The sequence below is a fragment of the Homo sapiens genome, chromosome 6, assembly GCF_000001405.40.
Source record: "Homo sapiens chromosome 6, GRCh38.p14 Primary Assembly".
Classification (NCBI taxonomy): domain Eukaryota; kingdom Metazoa; phylum Chordata; class Mammalia; order Primates; family Hominidae; genus Homo; species Homo sapiens.
In genome coordinates, this window is record NC_000006.12 from 139368336 (window position 1) to 139387188 (window position 18853).

Consider the following 18853-nt stretch of genomic DNA (forward strand, 5'->3'; position numbering starts at 1 on the left):
TGATAGTTTCTCTTTCCCAAGGATCATGGATTCAGTTCCTCAACACAACAGACTCTTACTTATCATAGCTTTTCTTTCATTGTGTATAAATATCAAAATATGATAGAAATTCACGCCAGCCGCTCTTAGAATATTTTCTCACTCTTTAGCATTACTGCATTACTTATGAGTTTAATTTCTTCCTGGGAAGGGAAGAAGTTCTTTATTTCAGATGTTTTAATATTTTTTTAAAATATAGGTAGGTCTCACTACAAGGCAAACTAAAATTATCAGCAGTATGTTATTTGATGGAAAATATTCTTATATTTCCTTTTCCAGTTTAAATTAAAAGTATGGCTACCAGGAAAAAAAAAGAATCATTTTTCTCCTTGCTGCATAAAAATAGGTCAAGTAATTTAAGCCAGTCCATTGCAATTAAAATTCTGACATTGCCATTGTTCCTTCTATTCTAGGGGGAGAAGACAAACAGAGCCCATGATAATAGGGGTTCACTGGCTGAGTCATTTGATGTGCTACCTATTGTTCTCTTCTGGAGGCTCAGCCTCAACCTGCCTGGGAGCGCTGATTTTGATGATAGTGGTGCAGTCCCAAAATGATAAATACCATCTCTGAAGCATGCATTTCTGAAGAGGTGTACTGCTGCTTTCATGCTAGCAAAACATTTCCACTGCAGAGGAAAAAATTGCCAATGGCATGGGTCTTAAATTCCTTGAATTCTAAATTTATTTATTTTTTGGAGACAATGTTATCTGCCCAGTTTATTTTAAAGTAAATTTTACTGACTCAATTAGACAGCAACACTCATCCTCATTAAAGATCCTGCAGTCCTTTCACAAGATTAGGGCTGGTGGCTTGGTCACATTCCAATGTGGATAATTGCATTCTGCATTCCTGGATATTTCCCTCCACCTTTCCAACCTCATACCGTCAAATGCATTGTTATTTACCCTTACTGCAAATCAACAGTCCTGTTGTGGAGGCGCTGAGGGTTTGCCATCCCCTCAGTTTGCAGGCTAAAGCATCAGCCCAAACCACTGCTCCTTACACTTTTAAAAGAAAACCCCTTAGGTAATGCATATTTTCAAATATGAGGCAAATCTCAATTATGCACACTTAATCATAGGTTAAGGTTTTTGGTAAGTAAAATATTCTTATTTTATAAAGGATGTTTATTTTGGAATCTTCTTTGATTTAAAAAATGTGTTGCTCGAATATGTGCTGTTTGCTCAAAGAAGAAAACAAAGTCTTCAGAAATGGCAACAAAACAAACAAAAAAGCGAAAAAGCTCTTGAGGAAACAGCTTTTCATTGACCTTCTAAATAAATTCCACAAGGGGGCGAAAACACCTAATGGTCCGGGGCTGCAAAGTTTTTATTGCAAAGCTGGCCACCCATAATAGATTAGTGGATTAATATTTTTCTCTAAAGGATCTGGCCTTTAATGTTGACATCAATTTATAGCCATCCCAGGCGTTTACAGTAGTAAAAGTCATGGAGACCATAAACTTCACAATAGATGTCAGCCTTCTGCTACTAGTGCTCTAGCCCAGCACCCCATAAACAGTGGTGATTAGGTAACTGTTCTTCAAAGACCCATCCATAGCTCTAACGTCTTTATCAGCTCCCGCAAAGATACTGTCACGAGGATTTTATCAGGCACAAGACAGAAGTATACGTTTTTATTAATGTGGACTTATTTTTCTGACATGTAGCTATGAGGTTGCACTGCAGCTTATCATTGATCTCTTCTTGAAAATCAAGCATGGAGTGTCTATTTTTGGGCAAAGCTTAAAGAACAGAAGCTCTCTTGTATCATATTAGAACTTTTTGACAAACAGCCAAGGTACAGAGGTCAAATTTCCCCATATGCTATAAGCAACTTAGTAGGAAGCAAGACCACAAAAGGTTTTGCAAATGTCTGCCAGTAGCCGGGTGATCTAGGTCACTGTACAGGTTTCATTAATCAGGTTGTTGAAACAAGGAGTTATTTTTCTCTGCTTAAGAGACCTGCAGATATCATGTAGAATCTGCTCAATTGTTGATCAAGAAAGAGTTTTTAATGAAACAGAGATCACTCAAGTGAACTGGGGTGCGGGAGCGTTTGTATTTGTACTGAAGACAAATTGTGCTTTTTAGCCCAGCTCCTCTGTTTGAGTCCTCTGTTCTGGTAGGGATGGGCTCAAGATCTAATAATAGTTCCTTGGGCTCTGCATCTCCACATACGTGTTCCGGCGTTTGAGCAGCAGGAGGAATTTAGTGACAGAGCAGGTGTTGTGGCTTATTCCCTGGCAGAATAAATGGTGAAGGGTGGTGGCAAGACAATTCTTTGGCTTCTTTATGCAAAAAAAAAAAAAAAAATGCATTTAATCACTTTCCTTTTTTCCTGGCACTAGTGAAAAAGGATTGGAGTTGCTGTATTAATATGTATGCAAACATATTTTTTCACTTAAGCCTCTGGAAAAAAAAAAGAGAGAGAGAGAAAGAAAAACTTACTGTGAAAATGCTTAGCCAGAAAGATTCATTGCTGATTGCAGATTTAGTATTGACATGTCTTAGCTGAAGAAAACTTCAGCTTTAACTATTAATGTGGAAATCTGGATCAGCTTTTAAAGTAGGGTAAAAAGAGTTTTGGATGATTCAGTATATTTATTTGAACATAATTTTAAAGAAGAAAGTGTCAATTATAGAGGTATATAAAAAACCCAGTGGAGTGTGTGCATTTTAATTTTACATGGCCTACCTTGGAAATAAAATTATAAAATGCAGGTGATCTGAATTATACTTAAAGCAGCCTTTATGCCCAACTTACTCTCTCATAACACTTCTAAATATCCGCTCCTCCTGATTTCTTATAAAATATGGAATTTAAGATGAGAATCGGAGTCTAAATGAAATGTTCTTTTAAAGCATTATTTATAAGATTTTCCTCAACCTACATTTTTTACTTCCCCTAGTAAGTTGCGTACAAAAGTCTGTATTTTTTCTTGAAGGTAGGTGTGTTGCTCTTATAAACATAAGATAAGCCATGAAAACATGAAAAACAAAATTCCTTCTCCTTCCACCTGGGATAATTTGAGATTTTCACAATATTACTTTTTCCTTTGCTTGATTATATAAGGCAAAACTTGATACCCACTTAGTTGTAGCTATGGTCTTCTTGATAAGACATCTATCCAGGTAAAATTAAAGTATAATTTTCAGGTGATTTGCATCCCATGCATGCAACAGGAAAACTCAGAATTCAGGAAAACAGGGCATGCTTAAGAGGGAACATCTTGTAAAGACTGTAATTTGACCTTTGAGTCAACCTGAGTACATTTTAAATATTATAGGACAAAAGCCTCAAAGTGGAATTCTGCCTCATCTTTCTCAGAACTATAAACCAGTCAGACACTGTTTCAGAGATTACGCTAGAAAATATGTACCTATCCTTGGCACTTTTGCTGAGAAATAAAACTCTCATCACTGGAGATAAAGGTAGATTTATATTTAATGCCACCCATCAATCAATCAGTGTATTATTCCAATCTACCTCTATTTAAGTAGTTGAATCAGGTATAAACAGAAACACTTGATTTTTTTTGCCTCCTGCCCATTGAAAAAGATAATGTTGAGTATTGCAAACCTTTCTAACTCTGGAGTACACTTGATATGATGGCAATTAAGAAAAAAAAAAAAGCAGTGACAACTTTGCAGCTTTTGATTAAAGCACACCAAGAGGCATGTTACAATGATAACAATGAAGCATTATGCCAATTATGTTAAATCCTGCTCTCCGCTTAAGCTCATCATGACCTGTTTTAGTGTCCTGTAATTTATCCTTTGGAATGCTTACTCTCATCAATAGTGTTCAACTCAAAGACGGGGGGAAAAAAGCCACCAAAGGGAACAACCACCCCCAAATGACTTCTAGAAAACAAGTTATTTCTTAACTTTTTATTGACATTGGCAAATTAAAATAGAATAAATTAACAAGTATTTTTTCAAAAAAATGTTTTGTACAAAAATACTGTCAAAATTTCCTAAAAAGCTTTCAACACAGTAGTATCTTTTCATGTACTGAATATAACTATTAGCACAGTGTCAAAAATGTTGAAGACAGAAACAAAATAAAAATCTGTGAAATGTTTGCCACTGACGACATTCCACACCCTATTATCATCTGTACATATGGGGGTGGGGGGGGCGGCGGGGGGGACAGCCAACTTGAAAGTGAACAGTATGACTTTCCTGATCCAGAACAGTTTGGCCCACATCTGTTTAATCTTCCAGTTTAGCATATTTTAAAAATTAGTCTGTACTCAAATGCATAGTTAAAAAAATGAAGCGAGATGGCAGTTTGTGCAGTAATATCTGCCCTTCGAAGTTCATGCAACCAACTAATGCAATTTTTCCTTTCACTCGTAAATCTGAATGCAGTTCAGTCATTTGAAACCATCTACAAAATCCACAAGATTAAGCAGTTTGCCAAGATTAATATCTAACAGTTGAGCACTGGAGAAAGTGAGGGAAAGGAGTAAAAACAAACAACGAAAAAGACCAAGTTAGCTAGATATTTCAACTACATAAGGGAGGTGGGTGAATGTCAAGGCTACAAAAACGAAACAAAAACAGGAAAAAAAAGTGGCAGCAATTTTTTTTAAAACCAATTTGTACAAGTTTATAGTTTACTTTGTTTCCAAGTTCTCAAACCTTTCAAGATCTGAAAAGTGAGATACTGTGTCTAAGGGAATGTTTCTTTTAATTCACGCCGAAGAAGTTGGGGGTTTGATTTCTTTCGCCGGGGTTTCGATCGAGTCAACAGCTCACTCTGCTGGGCTGCTGTTTGCACACGAAGTCCGTCATAAAATCAAACTCGTTTTGCCCCAGCCAGAGTTCGGGCAGCTCCTTGATGCGGTCCAAACCCATTTCTATCACCAAGGACATAAGAACTTCCTCGTCGATGAAATCAGTGTCTATGACATTGGGCGGCAGCATTGCAGCGGGGACGTGGGCCACGGAGGCGGGCATGTTGCCGCTGCCGCTGCCGCCGCCGCTGTTGCTGCTGCCCGCGCCGCCGCCCGAGCTGCTGCCAGAGCCGCCGGGGGTGCTGCTGCCGCCCGAGCCGCCGGGGGTGCTGCTGCCGCCGCTGTGCTTGGGGTTGCAATCTCGGAAGTGCTGGTTTGTCCCGTTCATCTGGTGGCCTGCAGCAGGGTGCAAATCCGGCATGTAGTGGTTGTGGGGGTAGGGGTGATGGTTGAAATACTGGTTGTTGAGCTTCTGCAGCTGCATGCTGGCCGGCAGGGAGCCTCCCTGGCTGGCCACCGGGGGACCCATGAACTGGGAGTTGTTAAACCTGGCCGCGGGGGCCAGCGCGCTCGGGGGGTGCCCTCCGTTCACAGTCCCCGGCCCCATCGCATGCCTGATGCCGCTCGTGGCATTCATGTTGCCCGCGCCGTAGTGTATGTGCTCGCCCATTAGGGCGTTGAAGGCGTGCTGGGGCTGCTGCTGCTGGTGGTGATGGGGGCTCGGGAACTGCCCCATGCCCATGCGGTGGGCAGGGTGATGGTGCAGCCCATTGGTGCCGTCGGGGAAGCGCCCGTGGTTCATGGCCATCATATGGTCTGCCATTTCCAGTCCTGGAAGTGAAAAGGGCAGATAATGAGACCCGCGCCACACGTGTCGCCCACCACAGCGCACCCCACTTTTGCTCGCCTCTGCCCCCCAGGATTCCCGGGCGCACGTCGGCTGCGAACCACCACCCCCAAGATCCCACTAACAGCCTGTGCACCCGGGCTAGCCACCACGGAAGAGCTACCACTCATAACACAGCCGGACGCTGCACAAACAGCCCCTTCCCCTGCGATCGGGCGGGGGGACCCGAGCCCACACCCCCTTTGCTCCCCGAAGTGGCCTAATAAAGGAAGTGCCCCGTAGCCCTGCTGCGAACTTCAGGCATTAAATCAGCCCTCCTCATCCTGTTGTTGCACATCCTGTTGTTATTCCCCAGCTTCGCCTCACGCTCTTCCTCCGGGCAAACCCTGCCCTCGGAGGACTGGGCTGGCAAGAGCCCCAGCCAGCTTCGCCCGTCGCGCTTACCTTCCGTTTTTGCGATTTCTGCTCCGAAGACCGAGGGCGGGCTCGTCGCGTCCAGGACCGGCTCAGCAGCACATAGAGGGGACCTTCCTGGCGTGCAAAGCGCTTCGCTGTCGCGATGTCGGCGCCGAGGTCTCGCAGCGGCCGCTGGGGCAGATTCGGAGCCGTTCCCTTTTATTTCCCCTCCGTTGCCCTCACAGCTCGGCAGGACCGCCCGGCAGCTGCCAACAATGAGCTGTGTTTCTTAGGGCTTTGGCCACAGTTAATATAGGCATTTCGGAAAGGCGGAGCGAGAGCCTCCAGGGCGGGCGGCGCCAAGACGCGGATTCCGGAACACCGCGAACACCCTGGACCGGGTCCCGGAGCCGCGTCCCCGCCGCCCGCGGCACGTGCTGCAGAGGCTGCGGGGCCCGGGGGCCGCCCAGTCGCCCCGTCGCCCCCCGACTCTGGTTTCTTCCCGGCCCAGAAACGCGAGGTTGGCTCAGCCACCCCCGAGGCAGGGGGAAAATCCTCCCCTGCCGCCCCGCCCGAAGGTAGAGCCTGCCGGGATAGCCACGAGGAGAGCTCACCGCCCCCCTCAGGCTGGATCTACCCCACCCCCAGCTTTCTCACTCGGTTCACCTAGCGATCTGCCCCGCTCTCTACGGGAAAAGGGGACTCGCCCAGCGCCCCCCGCCCTCCAGAGTGCCCTTGTGCCTCCCCGGTTTTGCAAAAGCTTCCACAGGCAGCGAAGAATGGCTGTGCTTCCTCGAGTTGGGTTTTAAAGACCCGGACAAATAATGCGCCCTTTCCTGAGCGCGCCTTCCTAGGCTGTGCCTTTGTGTTTTCATACGGGCAGTGGGTAGACCTACTCTAGATCACCGCTTGTAGATGCATTTTTTTCCTCCACTCCTTTCAAGGACAGGAGCTGGGGGCGGGGAGGGGCAGCCGCTGCAGGTGGACGGAGCGCGCTCGAGGGCCCGGCCACCCCCGCTCCCGCGCCCTGGAATTCCAGTCCGCGCTTTCGGGCCCGCCTGCCGCTCCCGGGGTACGTGTGCTTCTGCTAAGTTTGCGTTTGCAGCTCTTGGTAGCTTTGGCATCCGAGCTGAGGCGTCTCTGCTCTGTAAACAAACTCAGCGATCCTCGTCCCCAGATCCACCTTTTTGCACATACACAGTTACTTGCTTCTGCTGTTGCCCTGGATCCGGGAGGTGGGGGTGTGTACAAACTTGCAGAGCCTCCCTCCGGGCTCTGCCTGACGGTTTGGGGTTGATTTAGAAGCAAACGGGTTTGTAATTAAGAAATTTGAGGGCTGAGTAAGGCTGCTCTTGCTGGAAAAGGAAAACAAATAGATAACGTGGTAATCGCTTTGTAAATAAAGTCGTTCTGGAGGTGGGCACGTAGCTGCACGTCCCGTATGGCACCACGCGCACACACACGGCTGGGACTCTTCCTTTTCAGTGAAATTGTTCAGTGGGGCAATGGGCGATAATAATAACCTTGCTTCCACAACGCGGCACAACGAGCCTGGTCGCCCGTTTGGTTCATTGACTTGCAAATAAAACCCCTAACACAGGTCTGGGCTACTACCAAGTCGGAGCTCTCTGGCTTTCTCACATGGGGAAGCCGAGTTGTTTCCCCAACACCATGATGGGGCTGTTCTGAGCTTTTACATTGCTCTTTATGTGGTAAAATCGAGTTTAGCGCTCCGAATAAGGACTTCTGGGCAGTTGTTTCTTCATAACTCGATAGCCATTGAAGACTTCCTGCTGCGAAGAGCGAGTCCGCCTCCCCGCCCCCCCCTCGTCTTTTTCCCCCTTCTTGCACACAAGACTTTTAAAGGCCCTGTTTCTTGAGGACTGGAAATTCTGATACATTTCCCCGTTCAGGAATTTGCAAAAGAGACCCAATCCTGATTATTTTCGTCTATGACCCCTCTGTCTTTTCCTAGTCAGGCATATTTTTGTAAATGTTGTTACTTTGTGTCTTGTCTTCTTTCCTCTTCCAGGCTCTCCGGCAAACCGTGCAGGCAAATAATTTTTAAACCTCAAAAATATTTACTTTTTAGAGATACGGGCACATGACACATTGCATTGTTAGTTGCAACAATTCCCTATTCTCCTAACCTCCCACCACCTTTACCTGTAGGTCAGGACATGCAGTTTACCGTATCAGAGGCTTGGATACCTGAAGGGGCCACTTCCTATAAAAAAACAGATTCTAAAATATTGGTAAAACCCAACCTGAAAAATCGCGGGATTGTTTACTTTCCCTTCTTTGTACTGCAAGTGTCTTTCGACACAAGAAACAGCTTTTGAATGTCTAATCTAAATTCCTCTTGCAACCACTAAGGAAAGGTGGAGCTCCATCCAGCTCCAGTGGTTCTACCTACTATTGGGAAATCCCTGGAAAGGTCACCTGCCCATCCCCCATCCCTTAAAGGAGAACAAAATAGTTCTGGGACCAGCTGGTTGGAACATGGCATGCTTTGTTCATTTATTCTCATCCGTCCACTGAATGTCCTCCAAGTGCCAAGTGCTTTCTTGGTGCCTGGAGATACAAACAAGATAGGAACTCATGGTCACAGGGAGAAAACTGACAAACAGGCCTTGAACACACTGTGATAAATGCCACAAAGGCATTGAAGGAAAGGGCTTTGGAGAGCACATAGGAGGGACACCTACCCCCCTCCTGGGTGCTTTGGGAAGGCTTTCCGGTGGAGATGGTGACTAAGTGGAGGCCTCAGGATGAATGGAAGTTTGGTCCCATTAGGAGTGGGGTAGAAAATGTATGGCTAGGGAGTGAATGCAAAGATGAGAGAAATAAGGTTGGAGAAATATGCTGGGGCCGGATGCCAAGGGCATTGTGGCCTCAAGCTGAGAAATTTTGCTGTATCCCAAAGACATTGGGAGGCAGGTAAAAGCTTGTGAAGCCATGAGATAGGAAAGATTTGGATTTTAGAAAGATCAGGGCAGTACTGTGGAGAATGGTTAGAGAAAGTAAGACAGGAAACAGGGAGTCCAGTTAGGGGGCACTTACAGTAACCCAGGGCTCCCAGAAGTTCCGTATAACCAGGGTTTATCCCGTGAACCTGGGTGAGCGAGCAAGTGATCTGTCTGTGGCCCTCACAGCACTGAATGGTTGTATTCATTTCCCAGAGCTGCCATAACACAGTACTATTTAGGTTGGTGCAAAAGTAATTGTGATTTTTGCCATTGAAAGCAATGGCGAAAACTGTAATTACTTTTGCACCAGTCTAATACAAACTTAAGGCTGATCAAGCTTTAAACAACAAAACATTATTGTCTCACAGTTCTGGAGGCTAGAGGTACAAGGCCAAGTTGTTGGCAGGGTTGGTTCTGAAGACCGTGAGAGAGAATCTATTCCGTGTCTCTTTCCTGGCTTTTGGTGGTTTCCCGGCAATCTTTGGTGTCCCTTGACTTGTAGATGCATCACACTGATCCCCACCTTCATCTTCATGTGACGTTTTCCACCCCCCGCCCCCCTGTATGTGTATCTCTGTGTCCAAAGTTCCCCTTTTGACAAGGACTCTAGTCCTTTTGGATTAGGGCTTCTCCTACTGGCCTCATGTTAACTTGATCACCTCTATAAGCTCCTGACTCCAAAGAAGGTCATATTCTGGAGGTTAGAACTCCAACATATCTCCAAGATATTTTTGCGGGGACACAATTTGACTAATAACAGTGGTAAATAAACTGAGTAATACAAGACCCCTGCTGCTGACAAAGAAAGTTGCCACCTGGAACTGTCTTCCCAGACGTCCTACTGGCCCATATTCTCATTTCTTCATGTCTCTGCTCAAATATCACCTCAACAAACTCTCCCTGACTGTCCTACCCAAATAGCAATATCTCTCTTGTTTCCTTGCCCTGCTTTATGTTTCATCTTAGAGTATCTTCCTACCTGACATGCTGCATGGTAAATTGACAGTTTACTGCCTTCCCCATTAGAATGACAGCTCCATGAGAGCAGAGACCTAGCCTGGTTGTTCATTCACTGTCTGAAACAAGTCCTGGCAGGTATTAGACTTTTACTAATTGAAGGGTGAATGCATGAATAAAATATGGCATTGGCACTATGGGAACCCCAATGAGGGGCCAAGGAAGACTTTCTGGAGAAGGTCACTCTCAAGGCTGGAGGTAGGCCAGGTGCAGTGGCTCACACCTGTAGTCCCAGAACTTTGGGAGGTTGAAGTGGGAGGATCACTTGAGCCCAGGAATTCGAGACCAACCTGGGCAACATCTTGAGATCCTGTCTCAACAAAATAAAATTAGAAAATGAGCTGGGTGTGGAGGTGCATACCTGTAGTCCTAGATACTGGGGAGGCCGAAGCGGGGGGATTGCTTGAGCCCAGGAGTTCGAGATTGCAGTGAGCTGTGATCACACTACTCCACTCCAGCCTTGGCAATAGAGTGAGACCTTCATCCCTTCTACCAAAAAAAAGCTGGAGGTAGAAAAGTCAAGTGGAAAAGGAGAACAGCAGCTTACCTTTGTCTGCATTGTGGCAGCCACTTGGGCAAAACTGTTATCTGTTTGGGAAGATGACTCACCTGGGCATCACTGACTGCTGAGTAATGGACAAAGGTCCCCATTGGTGTGAACTTTTGACTGAAACAAGTTTTTAGAGGTGAGTCTCTGGCTTTAGCTAAAACCTGAATTGAGAAAAGGCTGACTGAAGGACCCAGCTTCAAAAAATATATTGAAAGACCTCATACTTGTGTGGTGCAGCTAGGGAAGGGAGGAAGGTGAGATTTAGCACTGTATTTTGTACGTTATTTAAATTATCTCAGCTGAGGGCAGTGACTCATGCCCACAATCACCAGCACTTTGGGAGGCTGAGGTGGGAGAATTGCTTAAGCCCAGAAGTTTGAGACCAGCCTAGGCAATATGGCAAAACCCCAGACTCTACAAAAAATATGAAAAGTAGCTGAGCATGGTGGTGCATGACTGTAGTTCCAGCATCTCAGGAAGCCGCGAAGCTGAGGTGGGAGCATTACTTGAGCCCAGGAGGTCAAGGCTGCAGGTCGAGGTCGAGGTCGTGCCACTGCACTCCAGCCTGGGTGACAGAGCAAGACCTTGTCTCAAAAAAAATAAAACCCAAAAAACAAAACAACAAAATGAAACAAAACCCCAAAGCTCACTTAATCCTCAATGTAAGGAGTAGGGATTACTTTCATCACTTTAGTAAGGAGGACTTTGAGTCTCAGAGAATCTTTTAAAAATAAAAATAAAAACAATGAAAAACATGGCCACCTTCTCAGAAGGAGAGGAATAGGGAAAAGAGGAGAGAGGTAGCCAGAGAGTCTGTTAACACATGATTTAATAGTGACAGAGGCCCTATATGCAACCTGGTGTTATCTGCAAACTGAATAATGTCTTACATGTAGTATATATGTCAAACTGAGATGTGAATATCACTTTTAAACATGTAAACTTGGTTCTAACTCATAAAATACAAATTCACTTGAAATTATTACCAAACTCATAATAGTTTTTCTGTCTTTAGGTATTTTTTCATTCAAGAGAAATATAGCCATTATCACGTAGAGGTCAATGAAATGTTTGTATTAAAGGGTCTTTAAATTGATGAAGTTGGTACTATCCCGCTTGAGAATTTGATTAAAATAAATATTTTAGGATGTCATTCCTGGAGTTCTTGATTCATCAGGCTGGGAGTGGGGCCTGAGGAGCTGTATATTTTTTAAAAGCTCCCGGTTGGTTCTGATATTTAGCTAGGTTTGCAAACAGCCAACCTTGTTTATAGGTTGATGACAACTGGGGTCATTCTCACAGGGTTCATGGGTGTACTGTGAACCTGGTTCACACTCATAATGTCCAGTTTCCCTGGACTGCCACCCGTTTCCTCTCCGCCTCCCGCCCATGACTGGAATTTTGCCTGTCTTTGAAGGCCCAGCTCAGATGACATTTCCTCTTTTTTAGCCTCCCCTGATCCCCTAGATGGCAAGAATTCTGGCTCGTTGGTGCTTCCAGGGCAATTTACTCAGATCTTCTTTTTTGACCTATTCTGACTTGAGTTATGGGTATTTGTATTCTTCTGTAACCTTCTCTGTGATGGCAGAGGTTCCCAGGTGAGCTCCAAGGGGCTGCAAAATGTCGTGCACAGAATAAGGTCAACCTTCGACAGATGCCTCTCGACTTACCATGGGGTCATGCTCTGATAAACCCCGTTCTATAAGTTGAAAACATCATCTGTGAAACCATCATAAGCCAGGAGCATGTGTATAAGTTTGCTAGTGCTGCTAGGGCTGCCATAACAAAATATCAGCCTGGGAGGCCTAAATAACAGAAATGTATTTCCTCATAGTTGTGGAGGCTGAAAGTCCATGATCAAAGTGTCAGGACCCCTCTCCTTGGCTTGCAGATGGCTGCTTCTGGTGTGTCTTCACATGGTCTTTCCTCTGTGCACAGGAAACCCTGGTGTCTCTTTCGTGTGTCCAAATTTCCTCTTCTTATGAGGACATCAGTCAGATTGGATTAGGACCCTCCCTAATGTCCTCATTTTAACTGAATCACCTCTTTAAAGACCTTATCTCTAGTTATGGTTACATTCTTAGATACCGGGAGTTAGCTGTCAGCAGAGGAATTTGGGTGGGGGTACAATTCAGCCTATATAACACACGTCACATATAGATTCTTTTTTAGATAATTGGCATTTTCTTAGTCTGCAGCTTTAACAATAAGCTAGAGAACATTCACATTGGTTTTGAAGTTGGATGAGGTATGTTGGAAAGCAGAAGAAAAATTCAGTGACCTTAAATAATTAGAAAAACACTCTATCAAAAACAAGATTATGTTCAATAAGAAAAACTGCAGAGGCTTCACGAGGACAATAACAAATTACATGGGTATTGGATGGGAAATTATTGAGTAGATATAACAAGTTCAGCCAAAAACCAAACCAAAACAAAACTGCGGGTCCTCCTAAGCTATTGGTTGAATCAGAGGCAGCCACGGAATGCTGTTATTGAAAAGGACACAACTCGGAGTATATCAGGAGTGAGAATCACATGACAGAGCTGGAAGTAATCCTTTTGCTACACTGGGCTCTTCTGAGAGATCATGGTTAGTTTGCAACTTTACCTTTTAATAAAGAGTTACCAAAACCAAAGAAAGTTCATTGAAAAAAAAAAAAGGAAATATATTTTTAAAGGGACGGGAAATGGGACTTATAATGGCTATTTAATCTGGGGAAGAAAAAGCTGACAGGTGACTTAATACATATGTTCTGGTCTACATAGAGGAAAACTAATATGGTGGATCCTTTCCAGATGTTTTCCTTTTCCACTGAGACAAAGAAAAAAGGAAGGCGTTTTTAAAAAGAGAGCTTTAGATCAGTGGTTTCCAAATTTGTGTTCTGTAGATGTTGTGTATTCTCAGCTTCACTTTTAAGTGCTTTATATATTAAGGGTTTCTGTTTGTTTTAAAAACATATTGTTCTGATGTTAAACAGTTATGAAAACTAATGCTTTGGATAATACATAAAAATCATAGAATTCTAGTGTGGGTAGGACTTTTAAAAATAATCTTATCCAAACTCCTTCCTTTTCTAGATGAGAAATCTGAGGTCCTGAGAGGTTAAGTGACTTGCTCATAAAGGACTTCCTAACCATCAGGATTTAAAAACACTGGTATGGATTATCGGAGCAGACCAAGTCTTTATGAAGACTTCACTGAAGTGAAATAGAGATGTGTTGAGTGGTTTTTTAGATCAGCGTTTCCCAGCTGATGTTCTATATTATAGGTGGATAGGATTGCAGAAGACAGTAATAGAATCTATATCAATTTCTACTTTTAAAACAGTGGGAATTAAAATCATTTAAAAGTAGTTTTCCAGTTCAAAATGGAAGTTTGGGGCTGGGTGCAGTGGCTCACGTCTTTAATCCCAGCACTTTGGGAGGCTGAGGCAAGAGGATGGCTTGAGCCCAGGAGTTTGAGACCATCCTGGGCAACATGGAGAGACTTTGTTTCTACAAAAAAAAATTTGAGGCTGGGCACGGTGGCTCACACCTGTAATCTCAGAACTTTGGGAGGCTGAGGCGGGTGGATCACAAGGTCAGGAGATCGAGACCATCCTGGTTAACATGGTGAAACCTGGTCTCTACTAAAAATACACAAAATTAGCCAGGCGTGGTGGCGCACACCTGTGGTCCCAGCTACTTGGGAGGCTGAGGCAGGAGAATCACTTGAATCCAGGAGGCGGAGGTTGCAGTGAGCCAAGATCACGTCACTGCACTCCAGCCTGGTGACAGAGCAAGATTCCATCTCAAAAAAAAAAAAAAAAAGAAATTTTAAACTTAGCCAGACATGGTGGCACACACTTGTAATCCCAGCTACTTGAGAGGCTGAGGCGTGAGGATCACTTGAGCCCAGGAGCTTGAGGCTGCCATGAGCTGTGATTGTGCCACTGCACTCCAGCCTGGATGACAGAACGAAACCCTGTCTCAAAACAATAACAAAACAAAAAAACCCCAGCAAGATGGAAGTTTGAGAGTCTCTGAGTTGTGCTGAGTGAGCCCACAGAGCTGGTTGTAGACATCTGATGACAAGCATTAAGTAATGTAGTTACTCTCTCAGCTAAATACTCATGTCAGAGTGGTTGTTGCACTATTTAACAACTTTAAGTTGCTTTTAATTCTTTTACACATACGGATTTTTTTTTTTTTAAAGATAGAAGACTAATGGTCCTGAATAAAATAAACCTGTGAGAAATATAATTGTGATAATTTTTTTTTTGAGATAGGGTCTCACTGTGACGTCCAGGCTGGAGTGCAGTGATGTGGCCATAGCTCATGTAACCTTAAACTCCTGGACTCAAGTGGTCCTCTCACCTTGGCCTCCCAAAGCACTGAGATTACAGGCATGACCATGGTGCCCAGCCGAATTGTGATAATTATTTCACAACTAACTTATGATGATGCTCATCTCACCCAGAAGTTGCATTCATATCATGAAAACTTTTATATAGTACAAATTACATAACTCTAGGACTAAAAAATGAATCCAAAAGAGAGAAAACATAGTGATGACTACACTCAAATTGTCTGTCAATTTATTAGAAATAAAGATTCAGCTGCTGTATGTAATAATTACGGAAGTATGTTTGCAAATAATAGCCTGAAACTATTCCTCTGATCTCATTACTTACAAACAAAGCACAAACATTATTTTTTAAAATCCCAGTTGATTTTTATGTACAAAAGTCAAAAACTAAAAACATCAGGAAAGGAAAATATTTCGTGCCAATTTGTAATGTCATAATATGTAGTTGTATTTCAATATGTTTAAATATGTATTTAGTCTCAGATCCACAGAGAATATATTGTCAATTTTGAATTTGTTAACAAGCTGTGCTTTACTTCTTATAATTAATTGAAAAGAGATCTTATAATTGTATTTTATAACAAAAAATAATTTGTTTTATAGTCTTTGTAATAAATATTATTTAAAATAAACACCACAAAACAAGCTTCTATTATACATTTATCTAAAACATAATGTTTTCTGTGAACTCTCTTCTTACATGCCATACAAAAATTTTTTAAATGATCTGAAAATGCCTAAGTGGTTCATGAGATAACAATGAAGGAGACTCACAGGAAAAAAATGTTGAAAAATGCTGGTTTAAGTCAGTGTTTCTCAAGAATAATAAAGCTCTCTTTCAGAATAAAGAATAATAAAGCTCTGTTGTTTGTTTGTTTGTTTGTTTGTTTACAGTTTTTTGAGGCAAAGTCTTTCCCTGTTGCCCAGGCTGGAGTACAGTGGCTCAATCTCGGCTCACTGCAACCTCCGCCTCCTGGGTTCACACCATTCTCCTGCCTCAGTCTCCTGAGTAGCTGGGACTACAGGCACGCGCCACCATGCCCTGCTAATTTTTTGTATCTTTAGTAGAGACAGGTTTTCACCATGTTGGCCAGGCTGGTCTTGAATTCCTGACCTCGTGATCCGCCCACCATGGCCTCCCAAAGTGCTGGGAATACAGGCGTGAGCCACAGTGCCTGGCCAAGAATAATAAAGCTCTCTTTCAAAAGAAAAAATTATCTTGGCCGGGCGCAGTGGCTCACGCCTGTAATCCCAGCACTTTGGGAGGCCAAGGTGGGCAGATCATGAGGTCAGGAGATCGAGACCATCCTGGCTAACACGGTGAAACCCCATTTCTACTAAAAATACAAAAAATTAGCTGGGTGTGGTGGTAGGCGTCTGTAGACCCAGCTACTCGGGAGGCTGAAGCAGGAGGATGGGGTGAACCCAGAAGGTGGAGCTTGCACTGAGCCAAGATTGCACCACTGCACTCCAGCCTGGGCAACAGAGCAAGAGTCTGTCTCAGAAAAAAAAAATTGTCTTAGATTTCAAATGTTTATTTACATTATTTATATTTCTTAACTATGTAAAAATAGGGAACAATGCATGATATCCTTATGTTTATAGCTCTTATACAACTGTAATACTAGAACACATGTACATGTTAAATAAAAATTCAGAACCAATAAAAATAGAAATTAACAATATTTATCTGGCAGATTTTGTCAAAATTAAGCCACCCCTTGCAATGTGAATCCAGCAACAAGAACTACAGTATCTGTTTTTTGCTACTGAGTTTGGCCTGCTGATGCTATAGCATGCCATGTAGTGAAATTTGTATTGGAACCACTGTGCAAACTTGTATACTGTGCACCACAATTTCAGTTGGTCTTCACATGGTGTGACCATTTCAGTATATTAAAGCCATCTCTGTTCTTTCCTGATTTGTCTTCAACATTTTAAAGTCATGCTACTTGGCACCATCACAGTTATAATCACAAATCTAAATAATGAAAGATGATCATTTGGATGATTCATAATGCGTGTCTAATAATTTGTTAGAAATGATCAACAAAGGCCGGGCACGGTGGCTCAAGCCTGTAATCCCAGCACTTTGGGAGGCCGAGGCGGGCGGATCACAAGGTCAGGAGATCAAGACCATCCTGGCTAACACAGTGAAACCCCGTCTCTACTAAAAATACAAAAAATTAGCTGGGCGTGGTGGCGGGCACCTGTAGTCCCAGCTGCTCGGGAGGTTGAGGCAGGAGAATGGCATGAACCTGGGAGGCGGAGCTTGCAATGAGCCGAGATCGTGCCATTGCACTCTAGCCTGGGCGACAGAGCAAGACTCCGTCTCAAAAAAAAAAAAAAAAAAAAAAAAAATCAACAAAATGAAAACATAAAATTAAAGAATTCTTGAGGAGAAAAAGAGAACACCGAAGACTACTTTAAGGTTTGTGAAGGATCTGTGAACTCCTATTAAAGAAACCCTGGTTTTGGTGGTATCCGGTCTTTATTATTACCAATACTTTGGGTCATATAACTGTGTATTATAATAAATAATTTGGATCTATAGTTGGCAGAGAATGGAATAGAAAGGTTAAACTATCGAAGGCTGAGTGTTAGCCACTTCCTTAAAAAAATACAGGTTTCTTTCCTATATCAAATAAATATGTGACCCCAAAGTTGTCTGTGAGTTCAATTGTTTTTAGTCATTGACTCATCAGTTCCCGCTTCTATTCATTCAAATACCAGCTTTACAGAAATGCTTAGGTGAGCTGGGTAATAACTAGAAAAGAATGATTTATATTCATGTCAATTTTTTTTATTATTTTTATTTTTATTTTTATTGAGACAGAGTCTCACTCTGTTGCCCAGGCTAGAGTGCAATGGCGCGATCTCAGCTCACTGCAATCTCCACCTCCTGGGTTCAAGTGATTCTTCTACCTCAGCCTCCCAAGTAGCCAGGATTATTACAGGCATGTGCCTCCACACCCAGCTAATTTTTTTGTATTTTTAGTAGAGACAGAGTTTCACCGTGTTGGCCAGGATGCTCTCGATCTCCTGACCTCATGACCCACCCGCCTCGGCCTCCCACAGTGCTGGGATTACAGGCTTGAGCCACTGTGCCTGGCAATTATTTATATTTTAAATGGCATTTTCTGGAGTGCTTGTAGGTGCTTCAGGTCTTTTAAGTATTTTAGACAATCTTGTTCACATCATTAGCTTGTATGAGCAAAGGATTTCTAGACTGATTTCAAGTGCAGCCCAGCTTCTGGAATCAGTGTGTGGGGGCACCAGAGAAACAGCCTCAGAAGTTTGAGATAAGATTAGCTTCCGTGAGTGCCTTCAAGGAGCATAAACATGTACAAGATAAGATCAGCATCTTTAGCAGGAACATCTCAGCTTCCCGGGCTCTTGGGTACCTTGGGAGTTAGCAGTCACCTGGAATTGTAAATGAATCAACTGCTGTTCATCAATCTCTTGTGAATCTGATGAGTGTGGGAGTCAGTTGAACTCAGGATGAATGGAGCAGCTGAGCTGAAGAGCAGGCCTTCATCTGTGGTGGTGTCGCCAAGGGAAGGGTACAGCGACAGCATGAGGGTCCTTTGGCCTCCCTCCCTTCCTGTTACCTCTGTCCTGTAACTGCAGTGGGTCTATTGAAATAATTTGAAATTCTGAATTGGGTGGGAGACCCCTTACTTACTGATATCTCATAATGCTTTGGCATTCTTCCATGAGGGAAACTGTGATTTTGCTCCAGACTGGTCAGGTCTCCCATTATTGCCTTTGTTATATACAGTTGCCTTGACAGTTTCTTTCACAGACCCTCTCAAAATGTATAGTTAGATAAATTGTTGTGGCTCCTTCAATACTGTCCCCATGAAGGGAAGGTCTAGGCTTCTATCTTGTGCCCAGTGTCACATCATTGCATCTCCAGTGCAGAAATAGTACCTGAC

The 18853-nt window shown here is 43.5% G+C and overlaps 1 protein-coding gene across 3 annotated transcripts, besides 8 other annotated features; it reads right to left on the minus strand.

Annotated features, from left to right (window-relative positions):
- Window positions 484-1302: an enhancer, noted in NCBI's record as "OCT4-NANOG-H3K27ac hESC enhancer chr6:139689956-139690774 (GRCh37/hg19 assembly coordinates)". NCBI's record gives its function as "activates a minimal SCP1, AML or CMV promoter by ChIP-STARR-seq in primed H9 embryonic stem cells {active_cell/tissue: H9 hESC(primed)}" and the evidence as "EXISTENCE:reporter gene assay evidence [ECO:0000049][PMID:30033119]".
- Window positions 3472-6313, minus strand: CITED2 (Cbp/p300 interacting transactivator with Glu/Asp rich carboxy-terminal domain 2). Of its 3 annotated transcripts, none has more exons than NM_006079.5 (2): window positions 6078-6313; window positions 3472-5617 (listed from the first exon to the last, which is right to left on the minus strand). In NM_006079.5, the coding sequence occupies exon 2, from the start codon at window positions 5607-5609 to the stop codon at window positions 4797-4799; it is 813 nt and encodes a 270-aa protein (NP_006070.2). In that variant the 5' UTR covers window positions 5610-5617; window positions 6078-6313; the 3' UTR covers window positions 3472-4796. The 3 variants fall into 3 exon arrangements, with proteins under 3 accessions (NP_006070.2, NP_001161860.1, NP_001161861.2); NM_001168388.3 differs by lacking the exon at window positions 6078-6313 and adding an exon at window positions 5929-6027; NM_001168389.3 differs by lacking the exon at window positions 6078-6313 and adding an exon at window positions 5797-5878.
- Window positions 5022-5121: a silencer, noted in NCBI's record as "silent region_17609". NCBI's record gives its function as "represses an Ori minimal core promoter by ATAC-STARR-seq in GM12878 lymphoblastoid cells {active_cell/tissue: GM12878}" and the evidence as "EXISTENCE:reporter gene assay evidence [ECO:0000049][PMID:35858748]".
- Window positions 5412-5471: an enhancer, noted in NCBI's record as "active region_25171". NCBI's record gives its function as "activates an Ori minimal core promoter by ATAC-STARR-seq in GM12878 lymphoblastoid cells {active_cell/tissue: GM12878}" and the evidence as "EXISTENCE:reporter gene assay evidence [ECO:0000049][PMID:35858748]".
- Window positions 5692-5841: a silencer, noted in NCBI's record as "silent region_17610". NCBI's record gives its function as "represses an Ori minimal core promoter by ATAC-STARR-seq in GM12878 lymphoblastoid cells {active_cell/tissue: GM12878}" and the evidence as "EXISTENCE:reporter gene assay evidence [ECO:0000049][PMID:35858748]".
- Window positions 5982-6151: an enhancer, noted in NCBI's record as "active region_25172". NCBI's record gives its function as "activates an Ori minimal core promoter by ATAC-STARR-seq in GM12878 lymphoblastoid cells {active_cell/tissue: GM12878}" and the evidence as "EXISTENCE:reporter gene assay evidence [ECO:0000049][PMID:35858748]".
- Window positions 6302-6681: a silencer, noted in NCBI's record as "silent region_17611". NCBI's record gives its function as "represses an Ori minimal core promoter by ATAC-STARR-seq in GM12878 lymphoblastoid cells {active_cell/tissue: GM12878}" and the evidence as "EXISTENCE:reporter gene assay evidence [ECO:0000049][PMID:35858748]".
- Window positions 6852-7161: a silencer, noted in NCBI's record as "silent region_17612". NCBI's record gives its function as "represses an Ori minimal core promoter by ATAC-STARR-seq in GM12878 lymphoblastoid cells {active_cell/tissue: GM12878}" and the evidence as "EXISTENCE:reporter gene assay evidence [ECO:0000049][PMID:35858748]".
- Window positions 8417-8711: a silencer, noted in NCBI's record as "tiled region #8989; K562 Repressive non-DNase unmatched - State 5:Enh". NCBI's record gives its function as "represses a minimal TATA promoter and a strong SV40 promoter by Sharpr-MPRA in K562 cells {active_cell/tissue: K562}" and the evidence as "EXISTENCE:reporter gene assay evidence [ECO:0000049][PMID:27701403]".